The sequence below is a fragment of the Homo sapiens genome, chromosome 20, assembly GCF_000001405.40.
Source record: "Homo sapiens chromosome 20, GRCh38.p14 Primary Assembly".
Classification (NCBI taxonomy): Eukaryota; Metazoa; Chordata; class Mammalia; order Primates; family Hominidae; genus Homo; species Homo sapiens.
In genome coordinates, this window is record NC_000020.11 from 7239063 (window position 1) to 7259628 (window position 20566).

General features: G+C 36.6%; 1 long non-coding RNA gene across 1 annotated transcript in view; it reads right to left on the bottom strand.

Annotated features, from left to right (window-relative positions):
- Positions 1-15140, bottom strand: part of LINC01428 (long intergenic non-protein coding RNA 1428) — a 107736-nt gene extending 92596 nt beyond the window's left edge. Inside the window, exons 1-3 of the long non-coding RNA NR_110609.1 lie at positions 15066-15140; positions 10747-10787; positions 2767-2814 (exon numbers count right to left, since the gene is read on the bottom strand). This is a non-coding gene — a long non-coding RNA (long intergenic non-protein coding RNA 1428). The remainder of the gene's footprint in view (positions 1-2766; positions 2815-10746; positions 10788-15065) is intronic.
- Between the last annotated feature and the right edge of the window lie 5426 nt (positions 15141-20566).

A 20566-nucleotide genomic window follows, 5' to 3' on the forward strand; every position in this document is an offset into this window, starting at 1 on the left:
AGTAGCTGGAATTACAGGTGGCTGCCACTACATCTGGCTAATTTTTGTATTTTTAGTAGAGATGAGGTTTCACCATATTGGCCAGGCTGGTCTCGAACTTGTGACCCAAGTGATCCACCCCCCTCAGCCTTCCAAGGTGCTGGGATTACAGGCATGAGCCACTGCACCCAGCCTCTTCTGGTTTTCTTTTTTCATTCTTTGTCTCTTTCTTGTTACTTCCCTCACAGATTCCTCTTTTTTCTTTTTCTGTCCCTTTAATGTTAATGCTCTCCAGGATTTTGCCTTTAATCTTTATTTATTCTCACTGTGTAAACTCTTCTGGGCCATCTCATCTAAGCCATTATCTTTTAGTTTAAAGAATATTTTTAATTGACAAGTATTATATATATTTATTATATGCAATGTGTTGTTTTGAAATATGCATGTATTGTGGAATGGCTAAATCAAGCTACTTAATATATATGTACTTCATATTTTGTTAACAGTGTCAGGATAAAACTGCTAGATATTAATAAAAAATAATAAACCCTATTTTCCTGATATATAATCTTCCCCTTATGCTCCACCTGAATGTTTCACCAGAAACATACCATACATAAAAGAGATGAAACAAAGAGAAGAAAATGTCAAATTCTTGTTTTGAATGCTGAAACAACCTCCTGAAACTCATGTCAGGGACAATAGTCTGAAAAATCTAGGCTATTGATTAGCACAAGCCAGATATTTTACAACTTCAAAAACAAGACCTAAAGGCAACTTAGCATAGAGACTATGACTTAAGCAATATTGCATAAGACAATTGATAAACGACCTGTGGATTCCCTGAATGGAAAATAAAGTTTCATTTGATGGGGGTGAGAGGGAATTTCAGAGAGGAGGGAGAGACCTTCAGCATGGGTGAGTTCTTAAGAAGGAATTAGGGAGACTGCTTTCTGACTGAATCTTGGGGTATGGCCTGAAGAACAGAAAGTCTGGACAGGAATGAGGGCTTTACAGGGGCAGAAGAGACCTGTTTCTTGCTCCCAGGTCAAGACTAGGTTTTAGTGTCTAGATGACAGTGATTCATAGAAATGTTCTCCATGTCAGCATAATCTATAGAGCAAAAACAAGCAAGACAGGTACAGGTAGACTCTTCCTTCTCTCACTCTCTGGTCTCCTGATATTTCAGAGAAGTGTGGAAAAGGATGTCAATGCTCCCCATGTCATAACATGCATGCCAGAAGACCTAAATAATCTGAGTTTTGTGGATACAGACATAATATGAAGATATGCAAGATTTCTCAAAGTTGAAGACACCTTGGCAAAAAGCACCATGAATAGAAGCGTATGGCCAAAGGCCAGGTGTGAGAAACGGTATCACAGCAGGTGCCAATAGAGGAAAGAGTGAAGCTGCCATTTGGCTGACCAGGTAAATTGTTTACACTGATACCAAACAAGCTCTCCAATAAAGAAGATGTCTCATCATGGAGAAAGGGAGAAAACAATGCTAAATTATATGAGATTCCTTCTAAAAGGCCTAACCGCCTGCAGGTTGGTTAGGTGGCTCTGCTGATCTTGACTTGCTGGCTTATATGTCTGGGTGTTGGCTAGCTGTTGACTGATCTAGTATGTACTCAGCCGGAGTGAAGTGGGTGTCCCAGCCTGTTCCATAGCTCTCATTCTCCAGGAGACTAGCTCAGGCATATTCTCATAACACTGATGTAAGAGCAAGAGAGGAACCAGAAGCTCATATGCTGATTTGTGATCCTCTGCAAGCGTCACATTTGCTAACATCCTTTTTGACCAAAACATCTCATGGCTAGACTCAGTATTAAGATGTGGAAAAAATAGACTCCAGCACTTCAGGGAAAATAATGGAACAGTCACATGACACATAGGCAAGTGGTAGTAAGGAGGCTACAGAAAGTGAGGGGAGATTGGAACTCTTAAAGCACTCAATCTACTAAGGGAAGGAAAGGGAAAAGGGCTGGGAGGATTTGAAAGGCCGACCCAAAGTGGTAGTACATAGGTATTTAATTAAGAAATAAGCAGTAATAAAGAACAGTGAAAATGTTCAGATGTAGAGATCAAAGTATTTTAAATTTCCATCTCCCATTAGAAATCTAGACCTAGAGGAAATCCTCAGAACCATTTTGTTCACTCCTAATTAAATATCCATTAAGAGAAAATTCATATCCTCTGTCTGCTTCAGACTGTTTAGTGTTTGAGTGGTCATTGTCCATTTTTCCCTAACATGAAAGTATCATTATTTATTTCCTTTAAGCACTTTCTTTTCTCTGCTAAGCTGGAGCTATAATCCCACATTGAATTTAAAAACCACTTCCTTTTTTGATCAGCTGCATCAATTTTTTAACCAGTCTATCCCCAGACATTTCTGTCTGCAAAACTTTGATCGTTTATGTAGGCTTACCTAATATATCAGTTTCCCCCTGAATATGTTTTAGATATAAGAAGAAAAATGAAGCTGAGTGTACTAATAAGAACCTGTTCACTGTGGCAAAAAGTTGAAAGATTGCATTCATTCTTGCCAGACATGCTCTTCACATAACCTAGGATCAAATGAACAAACTAGCAGTCTCATTACCAGGGTGTTTATAAAACTTGAGATCCACTCTGGCTCTTGGATCTTTCTCTGCTGTCTTTATGCAAAAGAAGGCACTCCTCATCTTGACTGATATAATATTCCCCCAAATTAGGGATCACCTTTCATTAATTAAGAGTGAAACATTGACTTAACTTTGTATATTCAGATTCCAGTTTACTTACAGGCATCCGTGAACTTCACGCTGAATTACCAATCCTATAACCCAAATCCTAAAGAAAAATGAAGGCTGATGTTATTTTTACTGGAGGAATCGCTTTCTGTAGAACAATTACTTAATTTTGTGAGCACCCCTTTTCTCATTTTTCTGGAGTAAAGTACCTTTGCCATACTTTTTTTGTGTGTGTGTGAGGCAGGGTCTTGCTTTGTCACCCATGCTGGAGTGCAGTGGTGTGATCATGATCACAGCCTCAATCTCCCAGGCTCAAGCAATCCTCTTGCCTCAGGCTCCCAAGTAGCTGGGACCATAAGGTACATGCCACTACACCAAGCTATTACTTTATTTTTTTAGCAACAGGGCCTCGCTTTGTTGCCCAGGCTGGTCTTGAATTCCTGGCCTCAAGCAATTTTCCTGCCTCAGCCTCCCAAAATGCTGGGATTATAGGCATGTGCTGCCATGCTTGGCTTACTTTCTTCTTTCTTCAAGTCAAGACCAGTCTGGGCAATAAAGCAAGGCTCTGTTTCTACAAAAAATAAAATTAGCCAGGTGTGGTGGCATGTGCTTGTGATCCCAGCTACTTAGGAGGCTGAGGCAAGAGGATCCCTTGCTCCTGGGAGGTAGAGGCTGTAGTGAGCTATGATCACACCACTGAACTCCAATTTAGAAATGAGTGTCCTAAAGAAAAAAAATAAAAATCTTTTGCCTAAGGCAGAAAATAGACAATTAAAAGGATAATTGCAATTTCATAGAAAACATCCTGTAGTGGAGATTTATCTGGATTTTTAACCAATGGTTTTAGTTATTAGAAAGAGTTAGAGAACCTGTCCTACTTAGTGTCAGGGTGGAAGCAGACACAGTGAAGAGGGAATGATTTCTGAATTGTGTTTTTTAAAGAATAAATCAGGTATAGATAGCATAGTGAAGAAAACCCTTATGCAGTGGCATAAGGGTTAAAGAGATCATTCTTGTTTTTATTGTTAATGTGGTTGGCTACATCGTGAGAATTGTGTGTTTTTTGTTTTTTTTTTTTTAGATGGAGTCTCACTCTGTCACCCAGGCTGGAGTTCAATGGTGCAATCTCTGCTCACTGCATCCTCTGCCTCCCGGATTCAAGCAATTCTCCTGCCTCAGCCTCCTAAGTAGCTGAGATTACAGGCACCTGCCACCACACCCAGCTAATTTTTGTATTTTTAGTAGAGATGGGTTTCACCATGTTGTCCAGACTGCTCTTGGACTCCTGACCTCAGGTGATCCACCTGCCTTGACCTCCCAAAGTGCTGGGATTACAGGCATGAGCCACTGTGCCCAGCCCACTGATAGAGTTTTGAATATTGGACCTCATTGCATTTCTGGAACAAATACCATTTGGCTGTGGTTCATTATTCCTTTACTATCATTGTTCACTTATATGTTGATGGGTTTGGATTTTCTAATATTTTGTTGGGTTTTTTTTTTCTATCTTCATAAGAGATATTGGTATGTAGGTTTCTTTTCTTAAATTGTCTTTGTCTGCTTTTGGTGTTGCAGTAATGCTGGCTAATACTGAGAAGTGTTTTTCCTCTTCTGTTTCCTGGAATAGAATTGGTGTCATTTTTTCCAAAATGTTTGTAGGATTTGCCAGTGACACTATTGGACCTGGAGACTTACTTGTGGGGATTTTAAACAATAGATTACAATTCCTTAACAGTTTAGGGCTTAATAGGCTATCTATTTCAGTTTGAATGAGTTTTGAACATTAGTGATTTTGAGGAATTGGTCCATTTCATCTGAGTTTCAAATGTACGTATACAGAGTTGTTTGCAGTAGTTCTTCATCTTTTTAAAGCCTGTGGGTATTTGTAATGTATTTTCTCTTTTATTCTTGGTATTGGTAATTTATATCTTCCCCCTCTGTTTCTGTCATTTTTCTTAGAAATTTAGCCATCTTATTTTTTTTTTCAAACAGACAACTCTTTGGTTTGATTTTTTTTTTCTGTTTTTGGATTGTTTGTTAGTTTTCAATTTTACTAATTTTGTTATTTTCTTTATTATTTCCTCCTTTCTTTGAGTTTACTTTGCTCTTGTATGGCTAAGCAGTAGGAAGATTAGAAGGGAAAAATGATAAATTCATCTCTAGTTTGGTGGCATTTTAAATTCTAGTATTCTTTTCTAATCTGCCTGCTACTAATTATCCTTCAAAGTTCTCAATTCCATGTATGCTCCTCAGAGTTCTTGGCTGTGTTCAATGAGAGATACAAGTAGACTTTTATTTGCTACTCAAACACCATAAGTGGTGTTTCTGTTCATGATGTGATTTTTCTAAACACTGAACAGACTAAGCCAAGTCACAGAGTACCTGAATTCACATGATAGGAACATTCCAATAAAAGATAGTATATATTAAAACTATTTGCATTGTATATTTAACAGTTCAGTTCTAGACTCAGATAACTCCAAATAGGACTTTTGTCTGTTTAAATATTTTACAAGATAATAAAAAATTATGAGAAAGTAGAACAATTTTTATTATGTATTATTTTCTTATGAAATTATTGTGAAAACTGACAGTACCCCACTAGATTCCAAAAAATGCCCCCTGTAGGGTAGAACTGGCCCATTGAAAAGCCCTGCTCTATATCACTGCTGTCTAGAACTGTCTACAATGATGATGTTCTGTTTCTGTACCATCCAATAATATAGTAGCCACTAGCCACATTTTGCTGTTGATTATTTGAGATCTGCCTAGCATGTCTGAAGGACTAAATTTTTAATTTAATTTTAATTAATTTAAGTTTAAATGGCCTTATTTGGTTGGTGGCTTTTGTAACTGAAAGCATATTTAGAGATATGAGGTGACATGTTTGAATAGCATAGAAGGCAGACAGAGGGAATAGCTATAGTAGATATAGGCAGAACATGGATTTTGGATACAAAAAGTACTAACCTGAGATCCTAGCATTGTCAATTCCAAGCTAATAAAGGTAAAGATAAATTGTGGAAATGCTAAACTATCTTACAAATCTGAGCCATGACAGAAGGCCTTCTCAATTCTGTATTTTTGTAAATGTATCATTGACCTTAAACAGAGTACTGTAACTTTGTCTTTATTAGTTAATGTCTTACTTAGCTGAGCACATCATTCATATCTGTTAATATGATTTTGAATCTTGAATGTGTCCTCCAAAGGATTAGCTATTCTTCTAGTTTTGTGTCAGGCATAAACTTAATACTTTCATTACTTAATGCTTTTATTCAAGAAGGTTATAAATTTGTTGAATTTGAAACAGACAGGAATATATTGTTTTGCAATAGCATCAGAAGCCTTCTTTCTTGAGGGCCCTGTTCCCTTGGACAATCCCAAATCTTCCATTTTTCATCTTGACCTCAAGGATGTCAAGGAATTTATCACCGAATACTTTGTTGAAATAAAAATACACTAGCTCTAGACATAGACTGCTACTTCTGTTAAAAAAGAGAAATGAGATATATTTGGTAGGATTCGTTCCAAAGAGGTAAATATTATCCCAATTTTATAAATGAGAAAACTGAGACACAACAAGATTATTTTGTCTGCTTAAGGTAAAATAGCTAGGAAATAGTGGAACAGGATATAAAAATCACGAATACTTGACTCCAAAACCTGTGATATTTCTGTGATAGGCAGCCTTTAACATGGCCCCCAATGATCCAATTAATGGTGCCAATTAATGAATGATACCTCCTGGTATTCACAGTCTTGTGGGATCCCCTGTCCCTGAGTGACTTGCCTTAAAATAATAGAATATCATAACATAATCAATTTAGATGCAGACATGCAAAGATGCATAGTCTAATTTGACACTTGAAAAAAAAACTGAGGTTCACAGGATTGTCAGAATTTACTCTTGTAATTAATTATACCCAGTAGCTGAATTGGAATCAAATCTAGATTTTTACTTTTAGATTTTGCATTATAAAATAAAATGTAAAAAAGCCACCCAAACAAATAAATTAACAAATTGTTAGAAGGTGAATAGCCTTGCATTCCTCACCTCGGTAAAAAGATAGAACATTGCCCTTCACCTCAGAAGTCTTCTCCATGTGTCCCATCCTCAAATACTCATTTCTCTGCTAACTTTTGATTTTTTAGAGATGGTCTCACTCTGTCTCCCAGGCTGGAGTGCAGTGGCACAATCTTGGCTCACTGCAACCTCTGCCTCCCAGGTTCAAGTTATTCTCCTGCCTCAGCCTCCAAAGTAGGTGGGACTACAGGCATGTGCTACCAAGCCCAGCTAATTTTTTGTATTTTTAGTAGAATCGGGGTTTCAGCATGTTGGCCAGGCTGGTCTCGAACTCCTGACCTCAAGTGATCCGTCCACCTCGGCCTCCCAAAATGTTGGGATTATAGGCGTGAGCCACTGCGCCTGGCCTGCTCTGCTAACTTTTATATTAACCACTTCCTTGCATTTCTTTATGGTTTTAGCACTCAAACAGTGCATCCCTAGACAGTATACTTTAGTATTGCCTCTAAAAAATTTGTATCTTTTCTTGTACCTCCTTGATATCCTGTAGGTATATTCTATTAGAAGCCTTGCTGAATTTGGACAACAATCATTAAAAGTTCTATAATTGTCCTAAAAGTTGTCAAAATTTCAACTTCTAGTATTTAATCTCAAATAACTAATCATGAATATTTTTAAAACATTTAGTCTAAATTGTACTTTCTATTTCTTAATAGTAAAAATTTGGAAATGGCTTAAAAGTTAAACAGAAAAATTGTAAAAATATTTATGATACACATAGTGTAATGTTGTGTAGCTATAAAAAATTTTTTGTAAAAAAAGTGTTACTTAGATGTGTTCTTATATATTCATGTACATATTAACTTATTCATGTACATATTATAACTTAACTTATTCATGTACATATTATATTTAAATTATGTGTGATGTATTTTTATTATGGCATTTCATTTACATATGATTTACGTATACTAAACTGACATATTATATATTTTTTTGCTTTACTTGTAAGTATAAGAGCATGTTACAAATAGCATATGTAGTGTGTTACTATTTTTGCTAAAAATTATATATATATAAAGATGGGAAGAAAATATAAGAAAATAATAATGTTTACTTGCATAAAATTCATTTCTTTAACTTTCTCTGTTCTGTGCTCATCTATTATTTTGCTAAATTTTTAAAGAGCTTATACTACTTCTGTAATTAGAAAAACATAGATTTATTAAAAAGTAATATATATGAAAAGAGAGACAATGAGCCTTGGTTTATATCTTGATGCTACTGCTCTAGCTTTTCACTCTGTCACTGACATGAACCCCCAGCATTCTTTTTGAACAGAAAACAGCAAATACTTAGTTAAAACTAAAAATCAAGACTTTTATCCATGTAAGTAAAGTATAGCTTAATTTTAAACTTCCTGTATGCTGTGTGGGGAGAACAACTGTATACAACCCCCTATATTGAGCAAAGACACATGTGCATGCCCCTAACTACATACAGCTCTTTCTGCATCTGCTTCCTAATAGAATGCCCTAGCAACATCAATGACAAGTTATGCTTGAGGGCTTTCTCAATCATTTCAGAAATGTCTTCGGGATGGAGTAGACCCTGGAGGAGAATTTCTTCCCATCAGACACTATTTTTTTTGTTGTTGTTGTTGAGATGAAGTCTCATTGTGTTGCCAGGCTGGAGTGCAGTGGCGTGATCTCAGGTCACTGCAACCTCCAACCTCCTGGTTCAAGCGATTCTCCTGCCTCAGCCTCCCGAGTAGCTGGAATTACAGGCATGCACCATGATGCCCAGCTAATTTTTGTATTTTTAGTAGAGATGGAGTTTCATCATGTTGGCCAGGATGGTGGTCTAGATCTCCTGACCTCGTGATCTGCCTGCCTTGGCCTCTCAAAGTGCTGGGATTACAGGCATGAGCCACTGCGTCTGGCCCCCATCAGACACTCTTGATGGGGATGCTTCAGGAGATAAATCTGGAGGTCAGTCTTAGGAGTACAATCTGTGATAAGCACTATGGCAAGAAATTGGAGCTTAAGCATTAGTTAAGAGGATCACTAGCAAGAGAAATGCAGGTGAATGTCATTGGCTTGCCAATTGGAAAGGCTAGACCAGCTTTTATTCTGAGTTGGGGGCCAGTTGGTAGGAAGGATGTGGCAAAGGCAAAGTGAGGGCGGGTGCCCCGGGGCTGGAGTAGAGCTACTCTCATGTTTGAGACTGTGTTCCCGAAAACTAAAAACGGCACTGAACTTCTGATAATCAGGCCAAACAAAATCAACTCAATGTGTCTGAAAGACTTTTCTAGGTGCACATTTCTGAATATCTACTTTTGTTTTTCAGCCCCCACCTTCTTTTAACTTATGACTCCTATTTTATATGTGGAAATTGGGCTGTCAATTGATGTGGTTAAAGAGAGAAAAAAAGAGAGAGACAGAAGAGAGGGGGAGAGGGAAAAAAACAGCTTTAGTTATATTAGAAATCTAGGCAGAACTTCATTTTAACTGGTCCCTTCTACTTTTGTAGGCTAGATGTTTCTATAGTAACCCTCATGAAACTGTTCATCATACACAGATCTTATAGTCTATGACAAAATTTCTTTGGCTTTTTTTCTTTTTGGCTGGAGAGAGTAACCTATGAGCAACCTCAACACACAAGAATGAGAAGTTACTTCTGTTTTGATGTTTTTTTCCTAAATGATCTAAGCAAACAGGGCTATGGCAGAGAGCACATCTCACTAAGGCCAACTTGGTAGCAGGCCACCTTGATGCTATCAATTTTGCAATCCCAGCTGGTGTTCCTGTACAGTTTTAAGAGAAGGCTCTGTGCATGGCCCTTATGAACTCCCCACTGCTTGCTGAGGTGGATTAAAAGATGCAAACTCACTGAAATACGCCAAAGAATATAATGGTCTCTACAGAAGATCTGGCTGTGTCATCCAACAAAAGGTTCCAGCTGTGGCAGCCGTGTGGAACAAAGGGAACTCTTGGCTTAATGTGGAGTGCATGCTTCTGACGTTCCAGTTCAGGCAAGAAATAAATAAAGCTATTACAAAGCCCTTGACCAGATGTGTCTGACATAGTCTGAAACGTGTTTGTACAGAAACTTCACTATCAACGTGGCTCCTTCTTATAGCAACAGACATCTGTTCCTGAAGGCTGATGGGGTGCAGTCCATAATCACAGTGAGGATCTGATCTAGCTGGCTTCACTGAGCTGCCTTTTCCCTGGCCACGGTTGTTCTCATTAATCTGCATAGTCTCAGTCATATGTGGGTCAATGATTTATTTAACACAGAATCTAAATGCTTCTGTGTCATGGAATCAACATCTGTCCAATAGTCAAAGACTTGAAAATTTCTATTTGTTTTCCAGGAGCGATGGTATACATTCCCCATAGATAACTTGACTTTGTTATGCCTGGTCACAGTTTACATCTGTCTTTGACTTATATTGTTTTTAAGGTTGGCTATTGATCATTGTTTTCACATGAAACCTTCATTACTCTAATTGGAACCATTTATAAATACATTCCTTGGACAGATGACAAAAGGATCCATGATGGACAACTTCTTATTCAAAACAGCTGCCCAATATGTAAATCAAAAGCTGTTAAAGATTGTATTGAGCTGAGAACAATTATGCAAGGTTCTAGCCTGTTGTGAATTAAAATGACTGCATTAGAGGTTAAAGGATTTGTAAAGGGAATCTTTCTTTTCAAGAATGCCAGTTCAAATTCAGCTCAGGTCACCGACAAGTAATATCATGTGAAAATCATAAAACAAATCTATCCTCTCAGCTTTATTGTTAATAGAATGATAATGCCTTCAAAAGCTCTATTTACTGCAGTCAGTCCTTTGGTTGTCTTATCTGAAAACCCAAAGATTGAAAAGACTTAACAAATTTAAGGAATTACTTAGAACTGTTCTTAAATTTCAGGCTAGAATTCAGAAACTTTCCATAATTTTAAGCACATTATAAGATAGTTCTTTTTAACTTACTCTAGTACTATTTATACGCAGTTTCTTTTTTCCCTTTTCATCTGAAAAAAAGAGATAAAATGAAAGTCAAAACTGAGTTACTCTTTATAGAACTGTGGAAATAATAACTAATATTTATTACTCTTCGCTATTTGTCAATTATTATTCTAAGTGCTGCAACAGGTATTAGATCATGTAATCCTCATAATAATTTAAAGAGGTAAAAACTATTATTACTTTCATCTTAAAAAAAGTTAAGGCCAGCAAAATTAAATACATTTGGGTAAGGTCACAAAACCCATGTTCAAACCCGGAATATCCAACTTAAGATTCTATACTGCTTTACTGTAATTTCTTCACAGAAGGCACATTGAAAGCCTCAGTCAAGTGAATTTACTCAGTCAAGGGAATTAATGTTGGTTACCACTCCAAAATCTCAGATAGATACATAGATGATTGATAGGTAGATGGAAGATATAGATGATAGATAGATAGATAGATAGATGACATTAATATTTATCGAAGGCTTTCATTGCCTCCAGTATCTACATTTTCTCATTTAGTACCTCAATTGTATAGATAAGTTTTATTAGCTCCATTTAAGATGGCTTTTATTAGCCCCATTTATTTTAGCAGGAAGATGTTGGGACACAGCTACTAAGAGAAAGAGCTCAATGTTCAGTTCCTCTCACCTCATTCTAAACTGCATCGCAAGACTGCAGCAAGTGTACTAAGCCTTTGGAAACAACTGGTGTCACTGTGTAACTCTCATTTCATATGTCAGTTACATACTTGGAATCAGTAGCTTGTGTAAGACCCAAAGTCGGTTATTTTGAGACTCAAAACACTTAAATTTAGTTCAGAATGTGTTATCATTACTCTAAAGTTTTATGTTTAGTATGTCTGGTGGATGAGAGGGAGATAAAAGGGAATTTTGTCCAGGGTTCATTTCCAGTAGTAAGCTGAAGTAATGTCCGAATTATATTTATCTTGTGAGAGCCTAGGCTTGCAATAATCATTTCATTTTCGCCCTCTCCCTCACAGCAGAAGGCAATGGGACAATGGGGAAGAACATAAGCATTGAAGTTGATGGAATGAAGAAAATGTTCTGAATTGATTTTTTAAGTGAATACATTTAATTTTATTAACTTGATTATGTAAGGCCACCATTACATTAGTCATACATGTAGCCTATTTATGTGCATAAAAAATTCTCTGATAAATATTTAATGCCAGCTGACAGAGTGCCTCAAGGATTCAAGGAAAGAAAAGAAATATTTCAACTACTTAAAAGAAAATATTCTATCTCTATTATCCTTTCTTGTCTTTCCATTGAACACATTGAACCTCTCTTTCTTTTTCTGTTTTCAGTTCTCTTCCCCACTGATCATAATTCAATAGCCTAATTGAGTCCTGGCCTCTTGGCAACAAGAATTAGTTCTCTCAATTCTCTTTATAAATGATTACATTTCTGTTTTTCTCTCTTCCTAAAGACTGAGTTCTTAAGACTTAACTGTGTCTATTTATTTATTCTATGTTTTGGCAGTGCCTACTGTATGTCAAACACTAAATTTGCTAACAAGGAAGGTCAAAACACCTGCCTTCAAAGAGCTGAGTAGAGGAAGAAGATAGGAAGATGACATAAATAAAACAATGTCAAAATCTATTAAAATTTTGCCATTTTTGTTACTGAAGTGTAGGAGAGAGAAAGACCATCTATATGGGAAGATCAGAAAAGGCATAGGAAAAGAGGTGGTCCTTAAGTTAAATATAAAGGAATTTACTGTACCAAGCATACAAGGAAGGGGAGGGTATTCCAGACAGTCATAGTGAATGAGAAATGTCTTTTAGGGATAGATCTTCTTTTCCAAAAATCATAATTTGACTTCAAATATGCATGTAAGGAGGAGCTACACAACTTTAAATATGCATTTGGAGAGACTGTTTCTGTAGTACTATTACAGTATAAGTATGCTGACTATAAAATACTTACAATCAGCTCTTAATCTTCAGTTTAAGGAGAGATTGAATAGTACTAATGAATTAAGTCTACTTTGTTTATTACTGCATAGATCTCTTTTTTTCTCACCTTCTAAAGTGACTATTAACTGAAGTACTCAGCTTTTCAATTATGTCTGTATTGAGACAATGCTTTAATTACTATCTCAATCTATTTGTTAAATATGTGACAGGTAGCTTCTTATTGTTATACTAGTTTATTTTTGCATCCATTCCTATATTAGAAGCATCTTATCAGGAGAAAACATGCACAATACCTCCTTCTATTCTACACAAGGCCTTGGTTAGCTTATTTTAATCAAACATTTCCATTTAACTTGATACATACAATTTAAGAAAGAAGAAGGAAAGGTAAGCAAATTAGTGTTTATTGAGGACTTACTAGGTACCAGAGAGGCAGGCTAACTAAGCTACATTTAAATGGATGAAGCAGCGTGTAACATGGGATTTGGAGATGTACAAGTTGGTGTCAAGTCTTGTCTAGGAATTCTCTTCACCTCTTGAGGCCTCAGATTTCAAATGTATAAAATGGGGATATGATAGTGTCTGATTTATGAGATTATGGCAAAGATCAAGGGAACCTATGTTACGGTACCTACATAAAGAAGATGTGCCTAAAAGCAAAATGGTGTTAATTCATAAACAGTTGTATCAGTCTACTATTTTCTCAACAATGCTACATAACAAAACAGACAAACTTAGTGGCTTTCCACAATGAACACGAATTTTCTTTTCATTGGCTTTCCACAATGAAAATTGGCTTTCCACAATGAACACGAATTTTTTCAGGCCAGCAGGGAGTCTGCAAATTGCAGGCCGAGTTTGACTCAGAGTTTTGCTCAGAGCTATAGGCTGGGTATAGATCTGCCATGACTATTTCTCATCTTCCTTATCCCGGTCAGTGGCTTCTCATGGCAGAAGACAGAGCGGGAGAGCAAGCCTAAATGTATAGCACAATTCAAGCATCTGTTTAAGTCACATCTACGAACATCCATGGACCAACAGCTGAGCTGAAAGTCAAGCATGGGCATAAGGAAAAAAAAGCATATATTTGCTAAGAAATTATTCAATCTGCCATAATGTTGGCTTATTAATCAGTTTTTAAAATTTGAACGTATAATCAAAGTTATCTATAATAATGAATCACTTGAGTAGCTTTATAAAAAACTATAAAATTAACTATACAATTTGAAAGTAGCCTTAAAAAAGGAGGGCTCAAATAATCTATAACTGATTATGAAATCATACAAAGTTGAACAATTAATGTCAAAAGATACACAAATGATTATATAATGAATAGTATATCCAATAAATAACTCACCATCTAAACCTTTATGTGTCAGGCTACATGAGAAACTTCTTAACTGTGTGTTTTGGAAAATCAGAAAGAGCAGAAAACATGTACTCAGTTTTCTGTGTGGTTATTAGAGGCCAATTGTTTTTCCATTTTTTCATTTAATATTCACAAGTTTATTGAGCCCTTTTGTATCAATTAGCTTTACCCAGGCATTTATTCATTCTCTCAAAGAGAAATTTATAAGGTGCCTACTGTATGCCAAGCTCTGTGTTAGTTATTGGAGAAACAACCGTTGACTTTAAACATCTTTCCAAATTGGAAACTTTTATTTCAGAGTATAAAATATAATTGATTTTTTAAATTCCACAAAGCCATGAAGGGCAAAGAACTTAGTTTGGAAAAGGTTGCCTACGACCTTGAACATGCCGCATGCCTACATACTTACTAAGTTTCCAGGAGTACATCAAATGAGATCAAATGAGCAATCCTAGGTAGACATCAAAGGCTTCAATTGTGTGCTTAAAGAGCAAGCCTTTCTTACATTTTGGGTACACAGACTTTTTAATTGGGTTTTTAATGAGATATTTCACTGGTTGAGAATTATTCCAATTTTTTTGCTGCTAGTGAAAAAAGTTAATCAGCAGATATTTGTTAATTTTGAGGCCTTGTTCTCTTTTTTTGTTTGTTTTAGGTTTTGTTTTTGAGACGGAGTCCTGCTCTGTTGCCCAGGCTGGAGTGCAGTGGCACGATCTCAGCTCACTGTATGTAGCCTCTGCTTCCTGGGTTCAAGCAATTCTCCTGCCCCAGCCTCCCGAGTAGCTGGGACTACAGACATGCACCACCATGCCCAGGTAATTTTTTTTGTATTTTTAGTAGAGATGGGGTTTCACCATGTTGGCCAAGCTGGTCTTGATCTCCTGACCTCATGATCCGCCCGCCTCAGCCTCCCAAAGTGCTGGGATTACAGGCGTGAGCCACTGCGCCCAGCCGAGGCCTTGTTCTCTTCTGAAGCATTTCCACATACCTCACATTGAGTCTAGAGTCACTACACTTAGACATTCTGCAAACTGAGGGGGTTAAGAGTGGAATTCTGTTTCTGCTTTTCAGGATTATGGGCTGTGTGTAAAGACAATAAGGGTGATTCCGCTCCAAGTTATAGCACATTCTAAATTCTAAAGATGTTATGTGAGAGACTCAGTCCAACATGGCAAAGACACATAGAATTAAAGCATTGCTCCACTAAGTTCAAATTTAATGATTTCAATAACCACACTGAGATGCTTTCTACTAGTTTCTTTTTTTCCTTTTAAAGAGTTCGATACAGTTTCAGCTTTCTAGTGACAATTAGTGAAGGCACGGAAGTTGGCATCTTACCTCTAAGCCCTCTGTTGGTTTTTGTCTTAGCATCAACCTCTGAGCTACCTTTCAGAGAGAAAAGAATTGATACAGAGCATCTTTTGGAACTGTGATTAATGGTGTACCTTCATTATCCATCATTTTACCACCTTGAACCCACAACCTGGCTTTAATTGTACCCTATAAGAACACACCTCATGCTACAATTCTGCAAGTTTTACCAAAAAAGGACTATATTTCTGCTCTAATTACCATCACAACAGCTCCCATTATGGTTTGACCCTAGTAATTTAGTTATATTTATGCTGCTACAATGCACCAAATAGATAATAATGAATACTGATGCAGACTAAGGTTGAAGCAAACTATAATTATACAGACCTAATGAAGTTACCAGAAAAGGCAGTATATAAAAAAACATGCTCAGATAAAGAAAACACACACACACACACGCACAGAGAGAGAGAGATTATTTCTCATGCCCCAAGTTCTGCATTATACTTAGAAATTCCTGGATACTTGACATGTGCTGTTCATGTTCCTTTCTTGCTTTCTGGTCTGTGATTTCTGGACTTACAGGTCACATTCCAAGCTTTCATCTTTCATTTCTAAGTGTCTACCTTTATTTTTCAAATAAAGACAAACAGCTGTATTACTTATAGAGTAAATCAAATGGGACACTTATTCGGCAATCCTCTTTCATGTTAAACATGCTAAATTAAAATTTTAAAATCAAGGGGTTTGTTCAAGATGTTGGCAATTAAATCTATCAAATGAGCCCATGGCTGGAGCTCCTCAAAATAACAGCTAACAAAGTTACTGCACCTGTAAAATAAAGTCATAGCCAGTTAGCAGCTCAGGACAAAGTTGAACCAGAAATTGGTTTTGTGCAAGTTGATTAACAAGTAGTGTATAGAAGGAAAAAAACAAAGGAAGGGTTTGGCTATCAAGTGTTGACAATAGAGGTCCTCCTCTGGAAAGACTTAGATAAACTTTGGGAATCAGTGAGACAAGGCTAAAGAATCTTGCTCCTCCAAGTATTCAGAGGGACCTGAACACACTGTTTAGCTCATTGACAAACAGAGATAAGACAGAAAAAATGCATTCAACTGCCTCATTATTTCATACGAATTTGTGATAATTATCATGGCACTTTTGCTGATTTTCATTTGTTCCTAAGTAACCATCTGATAGAAATGGGAAAGCCAGAAAATGTGCAGATTCCCTGGAATGGCTATGACTCTGAGAAGGAAGGAGATCCCTTGGGATTCCTGTTTCACCTGGTTCTTATCCACTCTAATCTCTTGTAAACATGAAGAGCAGTCATTCTTATCTTACTCCACATAGGATAACTTCTATAGTTATCAATTTCTAAGAAGGATGACATTGTTAATACAGAGCCAAGTCCTTGTAGTAAAAACCCCCCTAATGGTTTAGGGGTCATGTTAAATTATCTGTGACTATTAAGGTTCAACTGGCTTAAATTCTAAAATGTCCTTCTAAATAGATTTCTCTCATTCTCCTCATTGTTGAATAGCTCTCAACTATTTCATGCCCCAGTAGGCCCACATTCCTATTTGAAGTGCATATCTGGGTAGCAGATTAAGAGAAAAAGGATAGAGGCAAAGTTTAAATTTGCCAAAAAGATTTTTTTTAATTTGACAATTTTTCCCCATGTCTCCTCATCAGTCCATAACTAGAAATAAATCCTGGCCAAACTGCATTTGTATGCTCCCTAATGTCTTTCATATCCATATCACTTGCTCTCTGTTATCTGTATACTTTTTTGATCTATCAACTGTCTTTCTCTACACCAGGTGAGTTAGTTAGCCACAAAAGGATCCAGCTATTCATCTGGCAGTCATCTAAGTATTCAGTATTAAGAGGTGGAGCTGCTGTCTTTTGCTTCACCTACTATACTCTTTTCTATCTCTGTAATTAGATTTCCTGATGAAAGTGAAGTTGCAGTGGGGACAGATGTTCTTAAAATTAAAAAGAAAAAAAAAGGTTGAGGACCAGAGAAAGCACATAAACATGGGGATGGTTTACGTTATTAAAAATGAAGATCATGTGCTTTGGATTTCATACACGTTTCTGATTAAAATAAACTAAAATAAACCTCTGACTCCAACAAAACTTCATTTTCTTGCAGGGATAAGAGAAAAGAAGTGGGCATGAGAGAGACGTGTCCCATTACACTTAGTGAATATTCTCTACAGCTACTTAAAGGAGGATCAGGGATTCTTCAGTAAAATTTTTCTGCTGAACTCTTCAAGTAGTTATAGCAAAGAGAAGTCTTCAACTAGAGAAGGTTGAGAAGTGTCAGTTCTTTCTTTCTTCTAATGCTCTGATCCAAATAGGATGAGTTTATCTTCAATCAGATTCTGATTGCTGTGCCATAAATAAAATAAAATACAATATAATGAAATAAAGTAAAAAAAAATGAAGCAGAATAAAAGTCCTCTTATGATCTTCCTATCACAACATACAGATCTTAAGTATCAATCTTCTTCACCTGTACACATTGGTCCCATCCATCAATTTTATCATGGAGTTGGCTTAAAAATGAGGATACATCTTGTCCTTCACTACACATGATGGATTCCAGATGTTCAGATTAAATAATGGTGCTCCCCTGTAGACATAATGGACCATAGCAGCAATGTAACTAAGCAAAATGAGCAAACCAGGCCCTGCAAATGATCTTAATTATTTCAACTATGAGGGACAGAAAAGCACTGGGTAATACAACAAATAGCCCTTTGAAAGAGCAAAAAAAAAAAAAGGCCTGGTAATTTACATTTAAGTCAAACCTGCTCCCTGCAAAGTATAATGTGTGTAATAATTCAGGAAGAAATCTAGCACTATACCATTTTCATAATTAGTATTCTATGTCAAGTCTCTAGCAGCAAGTAGCATATAAATCACGATGTTAATATTGGTCTGCTTTTCAATTTATTTAATGATATTCTACAGTCAAAGATTTATTGCTAAAAATACGAATGTGCTTTTACATCATTCAAGATGTATCTGTGCTTCCAGCATTTGAAAAGGCAGCTACAAATGTCAGAATTTAGGTAAGTCAGATTTATACAGCACACACACACACACACACACACACACACACGCACACACACACACAGAGAGTGACGTATGGAAACAAGTCTATATCTTTATTTGTACTTTCCATGATTAAGAGAAAGTACAGATTATATTCTACTTGGTATAATATTACTTAAATACAATCTTCCAGGCCTGGGAAAATGAAGTAAAATTGAAGTTCATGTCAAGCTGGCCAAAAGGTGAGTTCTACCCCAGAAATCTTTTGTGGTTGTCTACTAAGCCATAAATTAATCTGTCCGAATCATTGACACTCATCCACAAAGCACAGGTGGTAGTCTCCTTTCATACACACCAAAGAGAGCTAGTTAAAAATAAATTGTGCTGCCATTAAAAACATGCCAAAATAATATTTTTCCCATCTGCTAAGTCCAGCCCCAGTGGTAAGTGAACTAACAGGTTTCTACACTCACACTTGATGAACAGGCACCACAGCAATTAATTAACATTAAAACAACAAGAGTCAATTGGATTTCTCCCTTTTAGACATTTGTTAAAGCCAAAAGCAGAATACATACCCTGTGTAACATTCAGCCTTGTGGGTCTTCAGATGTGGCTGCTCTAAAGCCCATTTTTATCTAAATATTTACAACAAAGTTGGTCTGCTGAACAGCCGTATCAAGGGGGACTCTATGTCCCAGGTTCCACGCTGCCAAAGCCATGACCCACAGACTCCTCACAGCTTGGCTTGCCTCATTCTCCTGATACCCACACTACAAACAAGGACTATCCAAGGGCAAAGTCTATTTTTTGCATTCAACCAGTTAGTTAAAAATAAACTTTACAGTTTCCTTCCCATTAAAAAATATATGCCAGGCAAATATAAATATATTAAGATGTTGCTATGAAGGGCATTAGAAAATCCAAAAAGAGATGAGTCTTGGCTCTGAAAAGCCATTAATAATCTTTAATCTCATCACAAGTGCCTAGGAGAATGTTAAACCTTTATAGAAATTAATTGGTTTATGGTTTAAGAAGTTTGAATAAATAATTTAGAGAATAGGAAATCTAGCAAAGATAATGCTCCAAAAAGGCCAGGAAAATGTTAGTAGTACATCCTTTCCAACTTCCAAGGGAGATATAACTCTACTATTTAAGTTGTTCAAAACTCTGAGAAATAAGTTAACTCCTAAAAGTATTTTTAAAAGCCAGCATAACACTGAGTCTTCATGACTTCTAAAGTGGAAAAATATCAAAATCAGGGCATTAGAGACAGTGGATAAAAACAAATACATTGATTCCTCTCTGTGTTTATAGCTCTTCATTTTGAGTTGCGTCTCAGCAGGTAAATCTATATGCAGAGGGAAGAAAGAGTATACATGCAAATAGCATGCCTATGGGCCATGACAAAAAGAGACCCAAGTTCCTGTTCAATTAAGTTGTTGTGTCCTGAGTTTGCTCTGGTAACCCATCCCAGGGAGGCCAGGAACTGGCAGAAAGAGGTTTCTATGTTTTATCTCCCTTCTCTTGCCATACGTTCCGTTCCCTTCTCCTTTTTCCCTCTCCTTCGTTTCTTCCTTCTGCATTCTTTTTCTTCCTTCTCTAAGCCTTTGCTGGGATGCTACTAAATAAGATTGATCCGATAAGGAGAACAACTCCCACCTATTCCCTTATGCCAAGTCTTTGGAATGGGGTAATTTGTTGAGTGGAGGCTCAACCCAGAGGAGTTGCTTTCAGCAGATCGTCAATTGCCATTGTGAATACAGTCCCATACAATCATATGCATATTTGAGACCCACTCAGATACCAAAATCCATGAATGCTCAAGTCCCTTTTATAAAACGGGGTAACATTTGCCTATAACTTACCCATATCCTCCTATATATTTTAAATTGTCTCTAGATTACTTCTGATAACAAGTACAATGTAAATGCTATGTGATTAGTTATACTGTATTGTTTTCTATTTGTACTATTTTTAATTGTTGTTTTATTTTTATTAATGTTTCTTGCTGAATATTTTTGATCTGCTGTTGATTGAATCTGCAAATGCACAACCAGGGATATGGAGGGCTGACTCTATACCTTAAATCATGTACATCAATCAATC